General features: G+C 41.8%; 1 protein-coding gene across 4 annotated transcripts in view; it reads right to left on the bottom strand.

The window, feature by feature from the left end:
• SLC30A10 (solute carrier family 30 member 10) overlaps window positions 2,897-21,031 on the bottom strand; it is a 48,654-nt gene continuing 30,519 nt past the window's right edge. Inside the window, exons 1-4 of one of the 4 annotated variants that reach the window (NM_018713.3) lie at window positions 20,253-21,009; window positions 19,480-19,557; window positions 10,707-10,946; window positions 2,897-8,400 (exon numbers count right to left, since the gene is read on the bottom strand). In NM_018713.3, the coding sequence (NP_061183.2) occupies window positions 7,901-8,400; window positions 10,707-10,946; window positions 19,480-19,557; window positions 20,253-20,892 (1,458 nt within the window). In that variant the 5' untranslated portion in view covers window positions 20,893-21,009 and the 3' untranslated portion in view covers window positions 2,897-7,900. Of the gene's footprint in view, window positions 8,401-10,706; window positions 10,947-19,479; window positions 20,090-20,252; window positions 21,010-21,031 lie in introns of those variants that run through there. The other 3 variants (NM_001416005.1, NM_001376929.1, NM_001416004.1) reach the window with 3 other exon arrangements.

Raw genomic sequence — 21,031 nt, forward strand, 5'->3', positions numbered from 1 at the left:
AACAGACTACTCTATAATACTCTCTCCCCAGCTCATACAAAACTCGATTCACTAGCCTATAGAGAAAATGCATCCTTGCACCCTCTCACATTCTAACTTCCTTAGGTATCTTTGTGCTCTGCTTGTCTGCTGAAGAAGATAAACCCTGGGGGGTGCTGGGGTGAGAAGGAAACCACAGTGACAGGCTGGGGGAGTTTGTCCCTCCTCCTGGAGCAGAGGGAAGCAAGAGGGTTGACAAGAGGAAGTTTAGGGGTGGCTGGGAGCTGGCCAAGAGGCTCCTGCAACAGTACAGGCTGAGGTGATACAGCTGAACCTGAGGAACAGGCAGGAATGGAAAGGAGGCGCTGACATGAGTAGTACTTTGCAGGGAGCATTAGTTGAGCATAATGATGAGTTAGACATAGGATAAGAGTAAAGGCAGCATTAAACATGGCTGCAAGGTTTGAGCTGGTTTGTGGGGATAAGCCAGGGGGTAAGGGGGAATCTGGGGCAGCTGTTCCCACTGAAAGGAACAGAGAAGAGTCAAGGAAAGCTGATTTCAAAATTAGGATAGGCTGGGCATGGTGGCTCACGCCTGTGATCACAACACTTTGGGAGGCTGAGGTGGGTGGATCACCTGAGATCAGGAGTTCAAGACCATTGGGCCAACATGGTGAAACCCTGTCTCTACTAAAAATACAGAAAACTTAGCCTGGCATGGTGGCCTGTCCCTGTAGTCCCAACTACTTGGGAGGCTGAGGCAAGAGAATGGCTTGAACTTGGGAGGCGAAAGTTGCAGTGAGCCAAGATTGGGCCACTGCACTGCAGCCTGGGAACAGAGCCATATTTGATTGGCCAAAACTCGGTGACTGGCGCAAGTGTGGGCTACAATCTGGTTCCACTTCCACTAGCTATAGTTCATGATGTACAGGGAAACCTTTAGGCTGAAGTTAAATATGTAAGGAGGCAGCTTTAGGCTAAACTTGACTTAACAACAGTGAGTCCTTCTCTGATGGAGCTCAGCATCCTGGGCAGGACTGGAGATGCTAGTGGCTCAGTGCGTGTCAGGTGAAACGCTCTGTACAGAGCAACATAGAGCAGCTGAGGAAGATTTTTGGAGAAAATTGTCTTCTGAAAATATTCTATTCTTGGCATTTCCCCAATTTGCCCTCTCACACTCCTCCCACCAAAGCTTTAAGGGCAATTGCCTAAAGAATTAAAACTAAGCTCTCAATTCAGAAGGTCCTTTCCCCTCTTTCTCCACTCGCTGAACCACTCCAGGGCTGATTTCAAATGCCAGCTCTCCTGTGAAGCTGTCTTTGACTCTTCATTCTTTCTTCTTCACTTTCACCCTGTTGCTTATACTACCATTTAGTGCTGTTTAGCATTGATGTTTAATTAATTGACAAAATGGAGTTACCTAGATGGCAGGAGGCAGGATAAGAACAGGAAAAATATGAATGCCAGATTGAAAGTGTGAAAGAATAAGATCCATTGACATTTAAATCTGTTCTCATATGCATCATCTCCTTTAATTCCTACAACGCTGTGGTAGGTACCACAGGTTTTCATCATTAGCCTCATTTATAAATAAGAAAACTGAAGCTCAATGAAGTTATAGAATTTGTTCAAAGCCTGTAACTACTAACACCAAGAGTTGAAATTTTCCTTCATTCTTGTGTTTGTTTCATTCATTCATTCATTCACTCAGTAAATATTTATGGAGCTACCACTATGTGCCAGGTACTGTTCCAAATACTGTGATAGGGGCTGAAGAACACAGTGGTGGATTATGTAAAGCCTTATCTAGTGAGAGAGACTGAAAATAAGTGAATGCATAACTTAATGTTACAACATAATAGTGGTATGAAAAAAATATTCTGCAGGGTAAGAGACAGAGGGTAGGTGGGATTCTCTGTGGAATAGAGAGTCTGTACTCTAACTCCTGGGTTCAGTCCTCTGCTTCATCCTACAGACTCTTATTGTTGAAAGAAACTGATAGTCATGAAATGTCGTGTAGCCCCCTTTTATTGCAGACGCTACCCAGGGGTTGGAATGTGCACATTTGAGCACCAGAACGCATCCAGCACAAGGTTATCTCAGCAATCACAGGCTATACACAGCTGCCCTTAAACTCCCACTAAGTTGCACGGCCTTACTTAAGTTCACATGTGGACTATAAACTCCTTGAAGACAAGAATCACTTGCACACACTTTGCAATAAGTGTATGCTGATAAATCAATTAATTGATAAAAGCAATTGAAAAAACTGGAAGATTGTTCCTCTAATCCAACATTTATAAAGATTACAGTCAACCCATTGGAGATATTTCAAATCCAGAGACCCTCTCCAAAATAAGCCAGGCCTCTCTATCTTCCCTGAATCCAAACAGCTTTCCCTTCTACACGAAGCCTACTGAGCCAAATCGGTCAGAGCCCAGGGCCAAAACAGTCTTTCTAGAAAACCAAATCAGGGCGGGGCATGGTGGCTCATGCCTGTAATGCCAGCACTTTGGGAGTCTGAGGAGGGTGGATCACTTGAGGTCAGGAGTTCAAGACCAGCCTAGCCAACATGGTGAAACCCCGTCTCTACTAAAAATAAAAAATTAGCCGGGCATGGTGGCGGGCGCCGTTAATCTCAGCTACTCAGGAGGCTTAGGCAGGAGAATCGCTTGAATCTGGGAGGCGGAGGTGGCAGTGAGCCCAGATGGTGCCACTGCACTCCAGCCTGGGTGACAGAAGAAGGGGTGTGAAGGAGACTAGCAAAACAGAAAAACAGAAATAGGCCCAAATTATTAAAACCAATCCAAGGAGTTACTGAATAATAAACTTACCAGGGTAAGTGACAAAGACAAAATGAGTTCTGCTACTTTCAGTTATCTGTTTAATTGCCACAGACATATCTCAGTCATGTTTCTATTTTTTAAAAAAATTTTATTTACAGCACCATTGAACATCTTTGAAAGGTATGCTCATGTACATACATTACTGGGGGATTCACATGCAATTATTAATGAGTTATTTAAACTTTATGTCTTAGAGTTTTGACAGTTCTCTCAAATGTGAGGATTGCAACTCTAGCAAAATTGCCTGTGAGGACAGGAGGAGAATTTTAAGCAACAAAACTCCACAATACTGTAACATAACCTCAGATCTCCAGGAAGAGGTCACTCTCCCTTGAAAATCATCCTTTCCGGATTGTTCTCATTAGAGTGCAGAGTAGGTGCAGTGTCTGGCATGGCTTTGTACTAAGAGGTGACAGTTGATCATCTAGCAAACATTCAAGAAAGTTCCATGTAAACAAAAAGGTACGAAATAAAACACATGAAAAGAGAAGCACCAGAAAATGACTCGTCTGCATTATCTAAACTCCAGATGGGTAAGAACATGCAGATTACATTGAGGATTATCTTTCAATGCAATTTCCACTTGAGAAACTAAATTCCTGGTTTGACAACCTCATTTCTACCTGTGGCTACTCAAGGGTAAATAAACTAAGAAGCACAAATACGTGACACTTTATCAGGTGCATGACTTCTATAGAGCAGGCATGCAGTCCGCGATCATTCATCCAAACTCAAAATTCAAATCAGGTCATGTTTCTTCATTTTTTCTACATCAGTTTTTTTTTTTTTTTTTTTTTTTTTGCAGTCTTTTACTACAGGAATGTGAAGATATATTTAAAAATAGAATACTTTAAAATCAGGAAATGTATTTTGCTCTCTTGAAGAAAATAGATATGATTTGGCAAAGGATAAAATTAGCCATAAATGATAAAGATTTTTTTAACATCTGAACTTGTCATTAGCACTAAGATGAGCTGCTTACCAGGAACTAAGAAGAATTAACATCATCAAGTTTAAAATCGATCATTTTAAATATGAAGGAGATTTAAACATCTCAACCCCATGAATCAATTGTGCTGATAACTATCCAGTCTCATTGGATAGTGGGCTCATCAAATTGAGGATATTCAGGAGTTAAAGAGATCAGCACAGAAGAGTGAGACCAAATGCTTTTTCTTCATTTCATTTACTGTTATAATGACTGATGAGTATAAAGGGATTTATAAGGGCTTTTCATTTCAAATTACATTTTTCTTTAAATATCCAAAGTTCTTATGTGGAAACAACTGCAATTTTTATGAATAGGCTGGTCTTGCCTTTAAAAATATGTTTTTAAAGAGCAAATTCTGCAGAATTAATTATTAAAAAGACTATGGGACTTTGGAGAGGCTTTCATTAACATTGTCCCTAAACTACCCTTAGTTCTACCCAGTGGCTCAGAACTTGGGGCAATTTTTTTTCCCAGGTTATATGTGGCAATGTCTGGAGACATTGGTTGTCACAACTTCGGGGGACAGTACCGGCATTTATGCATAGCGGTCAGGGGTGCAGCTAAACATCCTACAGTACACAACCCACACATCAGGAGCAAGAACACATCCAATTCAAAATGTCAGTAATGCCAAGACTGAGAACCCCTGGAGTAAGCCTCACAAAAGCTCTTATGACCTCACAGGGCAGCTGTCTTATTGTAATCCCAAATCTACCTCAGTGATTTCCTTGACATTCAAAACACCTGTCTCTACTGAACTTTAGAGTTCTTGATTTACCACCACTGGAATTTGCTCTACCAATGGCAAAAAAAAAAAAAAAAAAAAAAAAAAGAACTAAATATGGAGAATATTCTTAATTCTTCCTCAAATAATGTCTCCCTACTTTATTGACATTTTATCAAGAAGAGAGTAATTTTATTTTCTGTCAACAATGGAGCCTGTGGGTATTCATAATGGCCCAATATCATGAAAAAAATTAATTATATTTTCAAAAACAATGTTGAGAGTCAGAAAATGAAACAGACAGTATTTCCTATGGCCAATGCTAAAATAATGTGGAAAGGACTGTTTCTGTAGAAACAGAAGTGCAGTAGGGCCGTGTAGAAGGCCAGGTGAGCACACAGGACAACTGGTCCCTGAGCTGACACACAAAATATGCCGTAGACTTTAAAAATTATGTCAGTTCTGGCCGGGCGCAGTGGCTTACGCCTGTAATCCCAGCACTTTGGGAGGCCGAGGTGGGTGGATCACAAGGTCAGGAGATCGAGACCATCCTGGCTAACATGGTGAAACCCGGTCTCTACTAAAAATACAAAAAATTAGCCGGGCATGGTGGCGAGCACCTGTAATCCCAGCTACTCGGGAGGCTGAGGCAGGAGAATGGCGTGAACCCAGGAGGCAGAGCTTGCAGTGAGCCGAGATAGCACCACTGCACTCCAGCCTGGGCGACAGAGCAAGACTCCGTCTCAAAGAAACAAACAAACAAACCAAAAAAAAATTATGTCAGTTCTTTAAAAAAAGGCGGGGAGGAGGGGATTTTCTGTAAATAACCTAAGTATACAGGAGCACCAAACTGAGTGCCAGTGTTTTTCTAATCTTAAAGGAAAACAGTGCTGTTTTAAATCTATTTATCAGCTGCTACTGCCACCAAGCAGGGCTGATTTAAAGGGAAAAAGAAAACTCTTGTATTTCCTTGGGAGAATTAAAAGGCAGGACAATTAAAGAGAGAGTGAAACCCAAGTGAAAATAGCATACAGCAGGCATCACAGTGCCACAGGTGGCAAATGCAAGCCACTCAACCCAATACAAAATTATTGCACTTAGCATGATTGGACATTATTAAATGCAGTCAGCCAAACTGTCTTAAAAAGGTATTACTTCATATTGACTCCAGGCCATAATCTGGTATAACTGTCTATCAAGATACTTTTCTGAAGTTAGGTTTAATTACAGTGGAATTAAGTGCCTTTTCTTACCCAGAAAAATATTTTAGAGATTAAAGAACAGTGTTTAAGTGCAAACTAATATCCATTCCTTCAGCCAGTTGCACAAAAACTGTGAAATTATAATTTTCCCTTTTAATAAAGGCAGAATGATGTGAAATCAAATTAGACCTTCAAATTTGGAAGTCAGAGAAAAATTTCTTTTTTGGCTCTAAGGAATTTCAACCAATGTTTATGTAGGAGAATCTGGCCCACTGATCTCCATGCCAAGTTTCTTAAGAGGATGCACTGTTTTGTGTGAGTACATGCCACACTTTTAATACTAAAAATAGAAATTCTTACTTATTAACCCCTTTGAGCTTATAAAGGGCATATAACCTAGCCCAATAAGCTCCTAGAAATAAAAACATTTTTAGGCATTTTTCTATTTACCTACTTCACAGCCAATTTAAACTCAGATAATACATTTTCAAGGAATAAAGAATTTCCTGGCCAGGTGCAGTGGCTCATGACTGTTCTCCCAGTGCTTTGGGAGGCCAAGGCGAGAGAATCACTTGAGGCTAGGAGTTCAAGGCCAGCTGGGCAACATAGCGAGACCCTGTCTCTACAAAAAAAGAAAAAAATAATAATTTCCTATCCTACGGATCATAGCTGCTTATTTATTTTAGCCTTCAAATTTAGGACTAAGATACATTGTTTAAATATGATGTTTGTTCTGTGGATGCTGCCTTCATTATCAACCCAGCACCTCTGAAAAACCCTGTGCAGATTCTGAACAGGACTTTACACACTAAGAGATGGTTATTTTCAGACAATCTTGCAGTCTACCAGAGATGATACTAGTTGTCTAGTGAGGCACTTCCCATTTTCTCATACCTGTGAGACTGTTCTGATTTAAATACTGATGTCTGAGCAATGTGTTAAAAACATGACAGATGCTTCTCTACTACCAACATAGTTTGGTTATGGGTCTGAATCCGATTATAAAAATTTTATTTGAACTTGGTAATATGGATCAGCGACATGAAAGAAAATTTTAAGTTCCTCAAAAACACATTAAAGGCAGCAATTAAGCTAATTCTCATTTCTCCCTTGGGCATCAACTTTTTCATTGAGTTACTAGTTGACAACTATAATAAATACTTTAAAATATGTCTAATTAAAGAGAAGGCAGTCTAGCTTATTTATTTCACAAGAATTAACACTCAGTGTTATGCATTCTGCTATCCCAGGAATACTCTTTTCTGGTAAATGCTGCATAGATCAATGCAATCATATGAAAGAAAATTCAAACGAAATTTGGAAAAATAAGTAAATCATTATCAAAGCACTAAATGAAAACAGCTCCAACTATACTGACTCTAAAAGACAGTATATGAGTATTTGTGTCATACTTCAGGAAACTGAAATATTCCCTCACTTCCATGGAAAAAAATGTATTATATATTTAAGCATTTGAAACATTCTATAGCTGCAGTTCAGTTCACAGCAGAAAGTAAACATTAGTTTTCTCTCACCTCACAAAATGTAGAGATGGCCAACGCCCTCCTACTAACCTTTACCTCCTCTAGAATGTTCTGAGAATATTTTCTACCTTAATAGTTATTCATTTTATATTTATTCAAAAATGAATCAAAGAAAAAAGATATTTCTTCAGTGCCAGAAATACTTAACTTGCCTCTTTTATGATCGTTAAGGGGATTGGGAAAAATACAGCTATTGTGGTACTTTAGTTTTTTCAATGTATTTAAGCTATGATCTCACCTGAGCATTAGCTAGAAGTTCTAATCAGTTTAGAAACAAGAACTTCTTTGAACACTGTATCCGCAGCTATTGAGCCCCAGTCCCAGACTTTAATGTCCCTGATATATACACTAGTGCAGTTTGCTTTAGAAAATGCATGTTCAAGCTGAAACAGTCAAAGAGCAGCATGAGACACCCAGGGGAATGGAAAGGAGTTAGTTACATAAAAATTCACAGACACGTTTAACTAAAATCCCAAACAGCCAACCCCTAGTGAACACAGAGCATGCATGCTGCAAGTCTAGTCTGGGCCTACAACCCAGAAAGCTCTTTTTGTGAGCCAAGCTTGTGGTTCCAAAGTGCCTCGTCTATATGGTCTGATTATGTGAGTACCAGATTAAAAATGCGTTCTGTTGACATAACATTGGTCCTCCTGAGTTTTGTTAAGACTTTGTCCGTGGTCACTCAGACAGCTATCCAAAGACACTTCAATAGCCACTTCTCTTGCGTCTCTTCTACTGAGGCCATCACTTCCGTATGTGTCTAGAGAGGGCCCACCATTGTGCTCAGCACAGCCATTGACGTGAGCCAGAGGCAGTGCCCCGGGGGGACAACACAGCTGCTTAGCACAGCCCTTGGAGATGCAGGGTGAGTTGCAGAGCAACAGTAAGTCCTTCTGCTCCAGGGGTTCCTTCAAGTCCACATTTTCAAACTGGATGGTCACATTGTGGATTCCCGCATGGTGGAAGATTTCTCGAATTTTTGTGCTGGCATCTTGATATCCCCTGTCCTTAGGATACTTGATGTGCAGGGTGGCAATAATCTTTCCACTTACAAGTTCCCAGATGTGCACTTCATGTACACTGCTAATTCCAGGCACAGCAGAGAGTTTACTCACTATAACAGAGAAGAGCAAACAAAAGCCAAGGTGAGCGCTGCATTTGAAACATGGAACTACAGGAGGGATATGGTTCCGTTAAGCATTCTCACCAAAATGGCTGCCTACTTACTACGAACAGCTGGAAGAAATTAGTTCTACCTCTGTGGGTACATTTGCCCTTAACCTTCTTTCTCCACACATTGTTAGTCCACACAAAGTCATTTAAGAAAGTAAGTCTAACAACGACAAGAAAAAAGTCCCCAGGGTTGCTGAGTATACAAGGGAATGGACACTTGAATGAACTTCCCATAGTAGGATAAAGTGCAATGCCTTTTCTTAAAAGGGATGATTTGGCAACATGGATCAAAAAAAACCTTTCCTAGCAATTCTAGTACTAAAAGTTTAACCTAAAAGAAATAACCAAATATGTATGTACAAGAATGGTTTGGACAATGCTCCTTGTGTTCATTAAAAAGATGGAACCAACAAGGAAATAGTTAAATCAATGATGTAATGGAATAGGATATAGTTGTTTAAAAGTAAGTTGCATATTTAAGGATATGAGAAAATGTACATAAGGTATTTTTAAGTGAAAAAGCAAATTGCTAAACTGTGTGTATGGTATGATCTTTCTTTTTACACCGCATATAGAAGAAAATATTAACAGTGGTAGTTTCCATGGTCAAATTATGAAAGATTTCTATTATCTCATTTAGGCTCCTCTGTATTTTCTATACTTTCCAAAATGAGTATGTATTTAGAGAGATGGTATTCAGTGCTGATTTGAGCAAAGGCTTTGCAGTCAGCTAGTTTGAATCCTAGTTTAGACATTTACTAACTGCATGACGTTAGGCAATTACCTAACCTCTCTGTGCCTCAGTTTCCTTATCTGTATAATAGAAATGATAATAGTACCTTTTTGTATTATTTTAAGGATTAAAATGAATTATTATAAGTAAAGCACTTGGAACACTTACATTTCTAGCATGTAGTAAACGCTATGAAAATATTGCTATTGTTATTACTATCTTGTGGGGTTTTTTTTTTTTTTTTTTTAGAGACAGAGTCTTGCCCTGTCTCCCAGGCTGGAGTGCAGTGGCATATTTATGGCTCTCTACAGCCTCAAACTCCAGGGCTCCAGTGATCCTCCCACCTCAGCCTACTGAGTAGCTGGGACCACAGGCACACACTACAACCTTTACTTTTTTATTTATTTATAAAAAATAATTTTTTTATTTTTCTAAAAATGAGGCCTCACTATGTTGCCCAGGCTGGTCTTGAACTCCTGGCCTTATGCAATCCTTCCACTTCAGCCTCCCAAAGTGGTGAGATTACAGGAATGAGTCACAAAAAGTAGCCCTCTATTTTTAAAAATATCTGTTTTTAAATATATTACTTTACTAAAAACATATCCAGTATATATCACAAATTTCTTTGTATATGTTTATCTTATTTCCTCAATTGGGAAATGATCTAGCTCCTGGGAAGGCAAAGGCAATGCTGTATGTCTGCTCTTCTGTCTCCTTCCCTCTCCCACCACCTGCTCTGCCTGCAGCTCTGGGCAGTGTTGTGAGAGACACAGTGACTTGCATGCCCGCATTAACTAGAAAGCAGGGTCTAGAATATGAATGATTTGTGTTTTTAGAATAAGGAGAATAAAATAAAGTTCTTGGCAGAAATGGCCTTATTTGAATTAAAATAAATCTTTGACATGAAAGTAAGTAGCCCAGGAATAGGTATTATCCAAGCATTGCATTCTTTTCTTTTTTTTCTTTCCTTTTTTTTTTTTTTTTTTTTGAGTCAGAGTCTCACTCTGTCACCCAGCCTGGAGTGCAGTGGTGCAATCTCAGCTCCCTGCAACCTCCGCCTCCCGGGTTCAAGCGATTCTCCTGCCTCAGCCTCCCGAGTAGTTGGGATTACAGGCGCGTGCTACCACGCCTGGCTAATTTTTTTGTATTTTTAGTAGAGACAGGGTTTCACCATGTTGGTCAGTCTGGTCTTGAACTTCTGACCTCAGGTGACTCACCCACCTCTGCCTCCCAGAGTGCCAGGATTACAGGCGTGAGCCACCATGCCCAGACCAAGTATTGCATTCTTAAAAATTTGCAGTTGAGTCAGAGAATCACGGATTGCAAAGGACCTTTGGTACTTGGAGCTGAGTCATCTTAATAGGCTATAAAACATATGATGACATCTCTACCACCTGGTGATTTAAGGTGTTTCAGAATACATAACTCAAACACTGCTCTTAAATAATGCTTGTCCTTTGGCCTGAATAACATTAAATTGAGAGTGGTTCTGGATCAAAATTCAGTCTACTTACTCAGCTCTTCCATGTTGACTCCTTTTGGGACCATCTGTAGCAGAATGGCAGCGGTCTCCTTGATAAGCGGGAAGGCAGATGACAAAATGATGATGACCATGAGGACAGTCAGGCTGGGGTCAATGTAACACTGCCAGTTACACGGGTCCTCACTCTTCAGGGGAAGCACATAGAATATGATGGCCGTGATGACCACAACCACGGACCCCAGGGCATCTCCCATCACATGCAAAAGTACACCTGCCAGGAAGAAAGACTACTGCAGCACAGATGCAAATCTGGAAGCCACGTGACACTCACTGACTTGGGTGTCCGGGTATATGAATATCTGTTACCATTTGGAGTTTTTTGGTTTTTGTTTTGGTTAGAACAGTAGGATGAATCAAAATAATGGCAACTACTTCTTAGGAAACAAAACCCCAGGCCACCATCGCAGGACTCAGAGTACCTTGGAAGAGCAACAGCCTAGGAAGATTCTGACCTGCAGGAAGAGCGACTGTGCCGTCTCACTGGGCCACATCGCTACCACTCACCACCCATCAAAGGGCACCAAGCTGGAAAACAGGGGCTGTGCAAATGATTTCTTTTTCTTTCAGACAATCATCTGTGCTTTACGTTGTTTTAAACATGTTTAAGGGGAGAGAGAACAAGTTGTATTAAGAGTGTTTAAAACAAATTGTCTTTTTTCTACCTTGATCCACTTTCCCCTTTCCCTGTAAGCATTTACCTACTTTGTATTTAGTCTGTGGTCATTTAAATGGCATTTGGTTTAAGAGGTGTCCAAGAACAGGGACTCTGGCAACATTTCCATTGCATAAAGAGCCATTTATCACAATAAAATAAAATTAAAATTCTACAGATAATACTAAAAATTGTGGGTGCCTTTAATTAAGGGAATTGTTTCTAAAGATATTGATTATGATATAGAACACATGCATTCCTCAGCAAAGATTTGAGTGCCCAATTGTTAGCCAAAGACTAAATTGGGATTCAGTAAGTAAATTAGGTAAAAATTTGGTCAGAAAAATTATAAAATATAAACACAAAGTTTTGGGTTTTGGTTTTGGGGGATTTTGTTTGTTTTTTACAAAAAGCAACATCTGAATCTTGCAATTCAAAGTATAGTTTGCAAACCAGCAGCATCAGCATCACCTAGGAGGTTGTTAGAAATGATGCATCTCAGGACCCACCTCAGATCTGTAGAATCTGAACCTGCGTTTTAAAAAGATGCCCAGGTGAGTCTGGGCGTGGTGGCTCACTCCTGTAATCCCAGCACTTTGGGAGGCCAAGGCAGGTAGATCATCTGAAGTCAGGAGTTCAAGACCAGCCTGGCCAATATGGTGAAACCCTATCTCTACTAAAAATACAAAAAATTAGCTGGACATTGTGGGGGCATCTGTAATCCCAGCTACTCAGAAGGCTGAGGCAGGAGAATCGCTTGAACCCAGGAGGCAGAGGTTGCAGTGAGCCGAGATAGTGCCATTGTACTCCAGCCTGGGCAACAAGAGTGAAACTCTGTCTCAAAAAAAAAAAAAAAAAATGCCCAGATGATTGGAATGCACATACAAGTTTCCAAAGCACTGCTCTAGAAGAAAGCATATATATTAAGAAAGGTCTGCTTTGTCTCTCCATGTATTCCACAGACTTATGCAGTAGAATTAATAATAATCCAAATTACTAACAACTTACTCATGGCTAAGACTAAACAGTCTCATTTGGAAGGTGCTTTAATTGAGCTAATTCCTCCTCTTGGCAACAACTCCACAATTCTAAATAACATCATAGGTAAAATGGCATGTGAACACTAAATGTAATTTGAGGCAGTTGCCTCAAATTTTCCCCAAAAAAATACAGGAATAAAAAGAATTCCCATATTTCCTTTTGGATGAGTGTTTACTTATGATAATAAGATCTTGATTCAATATATACATTAACATTCTCATTTTCTAATGCTGTGCTCCTTTCTCCCAACACCCCACCCCCAAAGGAGCTTTTAACTCCCCAGTCCCTGTCCTGAACCACTGAAGGGAAACTCAAAAATACTTTGTTCCTCTACAAGGAGCTAAGAATCGAAGCTTTAACTTGCTTCAGGACAGTACAAAATGCTACCATAAAAATATGAAAGCCTAATATCTCCTATACACATGTGATGTCATGTTTACTGCGTGAGACAGTCTGTTATTCTCTGATTGTCTCATACATGTTAGGTCCATTTCCTCCGTAAGTAACATGAGGATCAGGGCCATACTCCAAATTGCCTTTGTTTATATAATAGCAATGTAGGCATTCAATAAAACAGTAGCTTCTGGTTGATTGTCATAACTCCTATGACATACAGTAACTCTTGTCTTTAATAATAATAACTATTATTATTATTATGCTAACTAACACATATGCTCCAGGTATTGATTTAAGCGTATTATACTTACCCATTAAGTCCTTTTAAGGACTGTAAGGTGGTTACCCTTGTAAAAATAAGTAATGCAAAATCTAAGCTGTTGGAACTCAAAAGTATTTTGAGCCTTCAAGGAATGTGAATTACAGGGCCTGAGCTACGTGACAGGCAGCTGTAAGCTGTTGTATGTCTGAATTCAGTCTTTTTCCTTACCTGCATTGCTCTGTAAAATGTTGTAAATGGCAAAGGGCCCCAGGGAAGACCCCCTTCTCTCTTCCTGTTGATTTTCATTCTCCCTCTTACCTTTTTCATACAAGACATCATGGCTATCACAGTCCCTTAATATGGAATGTTAAATACACTCTTTTAAGTTGGAAAGGAAATGAAAACCAGCTATAAAGAAAACAAGCCGCGTGGAAAAGAAAACAAATTGTAACTAATTTTTTTAACTACTAAACCAGGCTTGTATACAAAATGTTGTAACCCTGCTAAATTTCTTTGTCTTATATATAAGCAAGAATTTAGCTTTTAACTTTGGAACCCTATCCCCATTTCTCTGGAGTGATGAGTCCCGGAATGGCCATTGCCAACTTTTCACTTGAATAAACTCTGGAAAACTGGAATCTGACCCTTTTGATTATTTATGGCTGGTACTCTCTTCATTTTACAAATGAGGAAACTGAGGCACAGAATACATAAGTAACTTGTCCAAAATCACACAACTAAAAAGTGTTAACTGGGGATATCAATCTGGGTGGTCTGACCAGAGATCTACTGTGCATCCTGCCTCATGTAAGTTCTAAAATTCAATTTCAGCTTTTCCTTCTGAGAAATCCCACTATTACCCCCTAAGAATTACATAAAATAGTAACTTTTGAACTTGTTTTTCCCATAATCCACAGTAAGAATTATGTTTTGCATCCTAGCACAGAGATACAAATTGCAACAAATAATTCATGGGAAAGCAAAACTCATCCTTATATATGACTTCTTAATATTATCTATTCTATTTCATTCAATTATAATTAATTTTCTACTAAACTAATTCTAGGGCCCAAATTGTCGCAGCCTTCAGTTTGAAAAACTGTTTAAAGCAGTATCCCACTCAATTCCTGACATTTAATAATGCAATGTATCTTCTGGCTGCCCATGCAAAGATGAAGAAGGCCTGGTCATGACCATTAACTACAGTGCACTGGCAAAATTCTGTGGGGTGTCTCTGAGTGTGTGTGTGTGTGTGTGTGTGTGTGTGTGTGAAAGAGAGAGAGAGACAGAGAGAGAGAGAGAGAGAGAGACCGAGAGAGAGAGACAGAGAGAGAGAAAAAATGGGGTCTCCCTCTGTCACCCAGGCTGGAGTACAGTGGCACAATCATAGCTCACTCCAACTTCGAACTCTTGGGCTCAAATGATCCTTCCATCTCAGCCTCCCAAGTATCTAGGACTACAGATGTGTGCCACTGCACTGGTTAATTTTTTTACTTTTTAAAAGAATTTTTTTACCTTCTTGTTTGTGTGTGTGTGTGTGTGTTTTTTTTTTTTTTTTTTTTTTTTTTTTTTTTTTTTTTTTTTTTTTTTTTTTTTTGCAGAGACAGGGGTTTGCTATGTTACCCGGGCTGGTCTCAAACTCCTGGCCTCAAGTAATCCTCTTGCCTCAGCCTCTCAAAATGGAAGATTCTGAGATAAATACATCGATAATCTCCTCAGGGAGGAAAAGAGTCTCCTGTGATGAGACATCTCAGGAAAGTCTTGTTGAGAGGTAGGTAATTTGGGCAGGACTCTGGAGAGGAGACAGACTTCAACAGGCAACCACAGGAGAAGGCATTTCAGACAGAAACACCTCACGGGAGACTCGTGGGAAACTGAAGATGGAGGACGTGCTCGTGGGGCAACGCTGGAGGCTGACGTGCTAAATTTGGACTCACAGACCCTGACGCTGTTGCTATGAGCCAAAGACCTTATGAGAGTCAACCTCTTTGAGGAGCAAGATTCTCATCTGTGAAATGGGGTAGTAATAATATCTGCCTCACCTCCCTCAGAGGCTAGTTCTGTAGAGTATGTAAAAAAATGTCTGAAAACCCTCTGAGAATGACCAAGAGGTGATGATAATGATAACAGGCACCATTTGTTGAGTGGGTCCTCTGTGCTATTCTAACCACCCATGTGATCCGCACAACACAGTGATGTTGGTCCTATTATCTCCATTATATAGATGACGGGACTGAACATTAAAGAGATGAAGTTCCTTGCCCAAGGTCACCTAGCTAGGAAAAGGGAGAGGCAGAACTCAAACCAGATCTGCCTGATCACAGGGTGTAAGTGCTTCTCACCTCACTACAGATGTACATTAAATGTTGATGGGTATGCCGGGAGACAGTGAAGAGCTGATGGGGGAGGTGAGGCCATGAAGGGGTGAAGAGAAGGGCAGAAATGTCTAGAAAGGAGTATTGGCACCGGAACAGCAAGCTCTGAATGTCAGCAGTGTTTAGACCATACCCTGTATGCGGCCAAGGCTTTGAGCAGACTCCGATGTGATCACATCTATGATTCAGAAAGATAAATCTGGCAGCATTATCTGAGACATAAAGAGCACCACTTAGTAGACAACTCAATCACCTGCTAAGTTACAATGCTCTCAAGGTAGCTTTGCAAAGACAGCAAACCTCTGTACTTGGCCCTCACTTGCTGCCTTTAGATTAAAACGAAACCCCCAAAAAACGGGCATATAACATAAATTGGCAATTTGACACAAGTTGAAATCTGATGTGTCCCAGCACTTAGGAAAGCCATCAGTGCTGTTGAATTTGTTGAATGACTGGAAATAGTGCATTTGCACTGGGCAAATGGTAATGAAAAACTGAGATCTTTCTTATTGGAATTACAAAGAAACATCTCATCAAAGGGGATTTCTTTTCAAGGGATGTCAAGATGGCTATTCATCTATTTACACCAAACTTTAAAAAGCTAATTGTCTTTCTGACATATTGTTACAACATTTTTAATACATCATGTTTGATCCTATTAAATAAAATTGACCACTACAAAGCACATTGATGAGCATTTTAAGAGGATTGTGTTTTTACCATACTTTACAGTAGAAGACAGAGTGTGTTCCTTAGAACTCATTTGTTTGCCAGGCACGGTGGCTCACGCCTATAATCCTAGCACTTTGGGAGGCCGAGGCCAGCGGATTACCTGAGGTTGGGAGTTCAAGACCAGCCTGGCCAACATGGCAAAACCCCGTCTGTACTAAAAATACAAAAAAAATTAGCCGGGTGCAGTGGCGCGCGCCTGTAATCCCAGCTACTCTGTAGGCTGAGGCAGGAGAATCGCTTGAGCCTGGGAGGCAGTTTGTGGTGAGTCAATACCACGACACTGCACTCCAGCCTGGGCTACAGAGTGAGACTTCATCTCAAAAAACAAAACAAACAAACAAACAAAAACTCATTTTTTAAATTCCCATTGGAATAAGAGAAACAGTAAAGAAAGTGAAGAAATTGTTTTTGTTCACAGAGATCCCCGTAAGCTGTTACCTCTGCAGATCTGGAGAGTGGGACACAGTCCTGCTTTCTAAAGCAGTTGCTTAAATGTTAGAAATATAACCATTCAGTGGACTGTGTACTAGAGAAGCAAGCCCTGTCTGGAGTCTAGAGGCAATGTGTGATCATGGAAAGGGCCAGAAATGTGATGTAGGAGCCCAGGATTCCAGCCTTGTCTCTGCTATGAGCTGGGGTGACTTGGGGAAGTCGTCAAACTCTCCACACCCTGCTTCCTCATCTGTGAAGTGAAAGGTTGAAGTCCAATTTCCCTAAGGTCCTTCTAGTTCTAACATTCTGTGATCCTTCCCTGAACTGTGGCTCCAAGATAAGAACACAGCACCAAAGGGGAGGCCAGCCTCACACTTAGCCGGGAATATGTAAAGGCTCCTATTAGCCACAGTACAGGTACTCATCAAAAGCAGCAGGAATGATCTCAGCTAACACGGAAGCACTATGGATTGAGCCCAGCAATTCCACCCACTAATTAAACGATAATTGTATCCACTCAGTAAGATTAATGTGACTACCAGTTCACTCATTCATGAATGGTACCAGGGACAAAGTACATACTCAATAAAAATGTTAGCTAGTTTTCCTACTATAAGCCTAAACACTTTATATGTTTCATTTATTTCAAAGCAATCCCATAAGGTGGGTACTGTTATTATCCTCATTTTAAAGATGAGGGGATTGGAGGCTTAGAGAGGTTCAATAACTTGCCCAAAGTCACATGGTTCTTAAGTGGCAGAGCCATGATTCACACTCAGGCAGTTTGAAGCCAAATCCCAACCTTTCAGCCACCGCACTATTCACCTCTATCAGAAGCTAAAGGTGCACTGGTGTCAGTCCCTGTAAACCAAAGGCCCAGCCAGGTATAGCAAGGCATTCTACTACTGACATTTTTCTACCAAGAAACTTCAATAGCTTAGGACTAAAATTTGGCAAGTTCATACAAGTTTCCCAAACAAGATCACTATAACTATGAGGGCCTACTCTTCTTCTTCTTTGCATCAATCCACCTACCTATTCTCTTTCTCAACTTTGTAACATAAGAATGAGGATAGTTGGCCGGGTGCAGTGGCTCACACCTGTAATTCCAGCACTTTGGGCAGCCGAGGCGGGCAGATTGCCTGAGGTCAGGAGTTCGAGACCAGCCTGGCCAACATGGTGAAACCCCGTTTCTGCTAAAAATACAAAAATCAGCCAGGCGTGGTGGTGCGCACCTGTAATCCCAGCTACTTGGGAGGCTGAGGCACAAGGATCACTTGAACCTGGTAGGCAGAGGTTGCAGTGAGCAGAGATGGCGCCACTGCACTCCAGCCTGGGAGACAGAGCAGGACTCCATCTCAAAGAAGAAAAAAAATGAGGATACTTAACAGAACAGGCTTTGAAAAGTTAAAGCCTCTGATGGTGAACTCCACCTTAAAATTTATGTGTGTGTGTGTACATATATATATATATATATATTTTTTTTTTTTTTTTTTTTTTGAGACAGAATCTAGCTCAGTCTCCCAGGCTGGAGTGCAGTGGTACAATCTCGGCTCACTGCAACCTCCACCTCTGGGGTTCAAGCAATTCTCCTGCCTCAGCCTCCCGAGTAGCTGGGATTACAGGCACCCACCACCATGCCTGGCTAGTTTTTGTATTTTTACTAGAGATGGGGTGGGGTTTCACCATGTTGGCCAGGCTGGTCTCAAACTCCCGACCTCAGGTGATCTGCCCACCTCAGCCTCCCAAAGTGCTGGGATTACAGGCGTGAGCCACCGCGCCCACCCCAATGTATATATTTTTAAACTGGACCTTAAAAAAGAGAGATAAAGGATGATTTTTTTTTCATTACAGATTCTCTTTTAAAAGCTCACTACTAAGCTCTTTCAGAGAGCAAATTCCCCTGTTGCCTTTAAATTTGTTTGATTAATTTAGAAATTTTTAGGAGATCATATGTTATTGTTGTTATCTTCTGGATTTTCCCTATAGGTTCACTCTGAGAATTCCTTTGTAAAACAGATGTGAGACACTCAAAGTGAAGGTATCTCCTGAATTATTAATTTTTCATTGTATTATTTCCATCAAAGCCCCACTTACAGGCTTTCCCCAAACCACAGGAAAGTAGAGGGTTGCTTAATCCTTGTTGGAATTCTCAAAGTCAAAATTGGGGATTAACCCCTTCTGGGATCACTCTGAAGCAAAGTCTATGCCCAAGAAGTTGGAAGGGAGAGATGTTGGCTACAATGGTGTCCAGCGAGAAACACATCTCAAAAAGCCCTGGGCTGACCTTAGTCCAGTGCTTCCGACCTTGACCACATGGTGAGAGGCTAGCTAGGTGCTTGCCTTGGGCCTCACCAGAACACTCCCTTTGGTCCTGGGAGTGGAGGTTTTAGTGAGCCAACGGTCCCTTCACAAAAGCAGATTTCTGGCAGAAATAGCTGATGCAATAGGGTCACTCAGCAATGCGAGATAGGGCATAACCTTGGATAGCAGCTCACCTACTCTTTTCCTACCTTTATCAAAATCAATTCAATTAAAATGGGTTGCATGATTTATTAGCAATATCCACGGACCAGTAAAACCAAGTAAAGTAGTAACACAATATTAATATGTGCAGCTCTGGAGCAGGCAGTATTAGCATGGGTCTCAGTGGAGCTAAGATAAATCATTAGCAACCAGTTTCTCCCTCAGGATCAATGCAGTGATTACGAAAGAGAGTTGGGTCATAGTCTATGCATGTAACTGGCCTACTTTCAAACACACCTTTGCCTTATTAAAAGTCAAACAGAAATAAACAACACAGTCCATGTGTGTCATAGAAAGGGATTTCAAATAGGCCCAAAGTCAATCCTACCTCTGATATTCAGAGCTTCAGACTTTTTCTCTTTTTTCATCATGTCTTCTGGCTCATTCTGGGTGTTGAAGGAATCACCTGCATTCAAAGAAGAAACCTTGTGTTGTGTATAAGTTCTACAAACAAACAAAAAAAAACCAATGGACTCAAAATAAAGTTTTGTTATTTTAAATTTCTACTAGCTTAAGGGAGACCCTTCTGCACACCCACAGCTCAGAACAGTACATTTTGGCCTTGAAATAGCCTTGTGATCCACCTTTGGACTTCATTCACACATCCTTTCAAGTTAAAACAAAAAGAGGGTGAATGGGAGCCCACCTGCAGCCCCTAAACCCGTAACACCCAAGAAGACAAACGGATGGGCAAAGAGGGGGGGAGAACAACAAAATTCAGACAGCAAGTAATGAGAGGGAGGAGGGGTTGGAGAGTCCTGCCTGTTGCCCAATAATAGTGACCGATTTCCAAGAAAATCAATACTCATATACAGAGAATAGGGTAAGGGAAAAGAGGCCAGGGCTACCCGAGGATCCAGGAGAAAAAAGAAGGGATGGGGAATATGTTAAATTGGCAGAAGAGAAGTAAAGCGGGATTGTAAAGGGAATGGATTTATTAAAAAAAAAAAAAAAAAAAAAAAAAAAAAACAACAACAACAAAAAAAAAAAAACAGAAAAAAAGCATGCAGAAGAAAAAGAGGGCGTGGGGTGAGAAGAAAGGGACCGGGTGGGAGGAGGAAGGAAGGGCCAAGCGGTCCAAAGGATGCAACCGAAAGGCACCTGCTACGTTTGCGAACACGGTCGCCCCCTTCTCCCGCTTCCTTTCCACCGAGGTCCCCCGGAGGGTTACGGCCGAGTCCGAGCCTGGGGCTGTCGGGTCCGCCGCGCGCCGCGGGTCCTCCGCGCCCTGAGGCCCCCCGAAAGCGCCGGGGACACAGCCCTCCGCCAGCTGCTGCCGCTGCTGCAGGCGGCGACTGCGTCCCCGGAGGCAGCACGCGAACCAGGCGGCGCAGTCCTGGAAGATGAGCAGCCCCACCACGTTGACCAACAGCCCCAGGACGCCGACGATGAGCACCAGCTCGGGGTCATCGATGCGCTCGGGCCGGGCCAGGCGCAGCACGGCCTCCACGAAGATGGTGAAGCAGAGCGCGGTGAGGAAGACCGCGTTGCTCAGCGCGCCCACCACCTCGGCGCGGGCGTAGCCGTAGGTGGCGCTGAAGCCCCGGGTGGGGCGCCGGGCGATGTAGCCGGCGCTCAGGCCCACGCACAGCGAGATCAGGTCGGAGAGCATGTTGAAGGAGTCGGAGAGCAGCGCGATGGAGTTGCCCAGGTAGCCGGAGACCAGCTCCGCCACGAAGAAGGCGACGGTGAGCACCAGCATGAAGAGCAGCCGGCACGTCTTGCCAGAGTAGCGGCCCATCTCGCCACCAGCCCCGGGCGCCCGGCGCCGCCCAGGGGAGCGCAGCCCACCCCGCGCGCAGCCACAGGTGGGGGGCGCGGCGCGGATCCGTGAGGCCCGGTACCCGCCTCCCAGATTGTCTCGCCGGCCCTGCCCCACC

Source organism: Homo sapiens, chromosome 1 (assembly GCF_000001405.40).
Source record: "Homo sapiens chromosome 1, GRCh38.p14 Primary Assembly".
Lineage (NCBI taxonomy): Eukaryota > Metazoa > Chordata > Mammalia > Primates > Hominidae > Homo > Homo sapiens.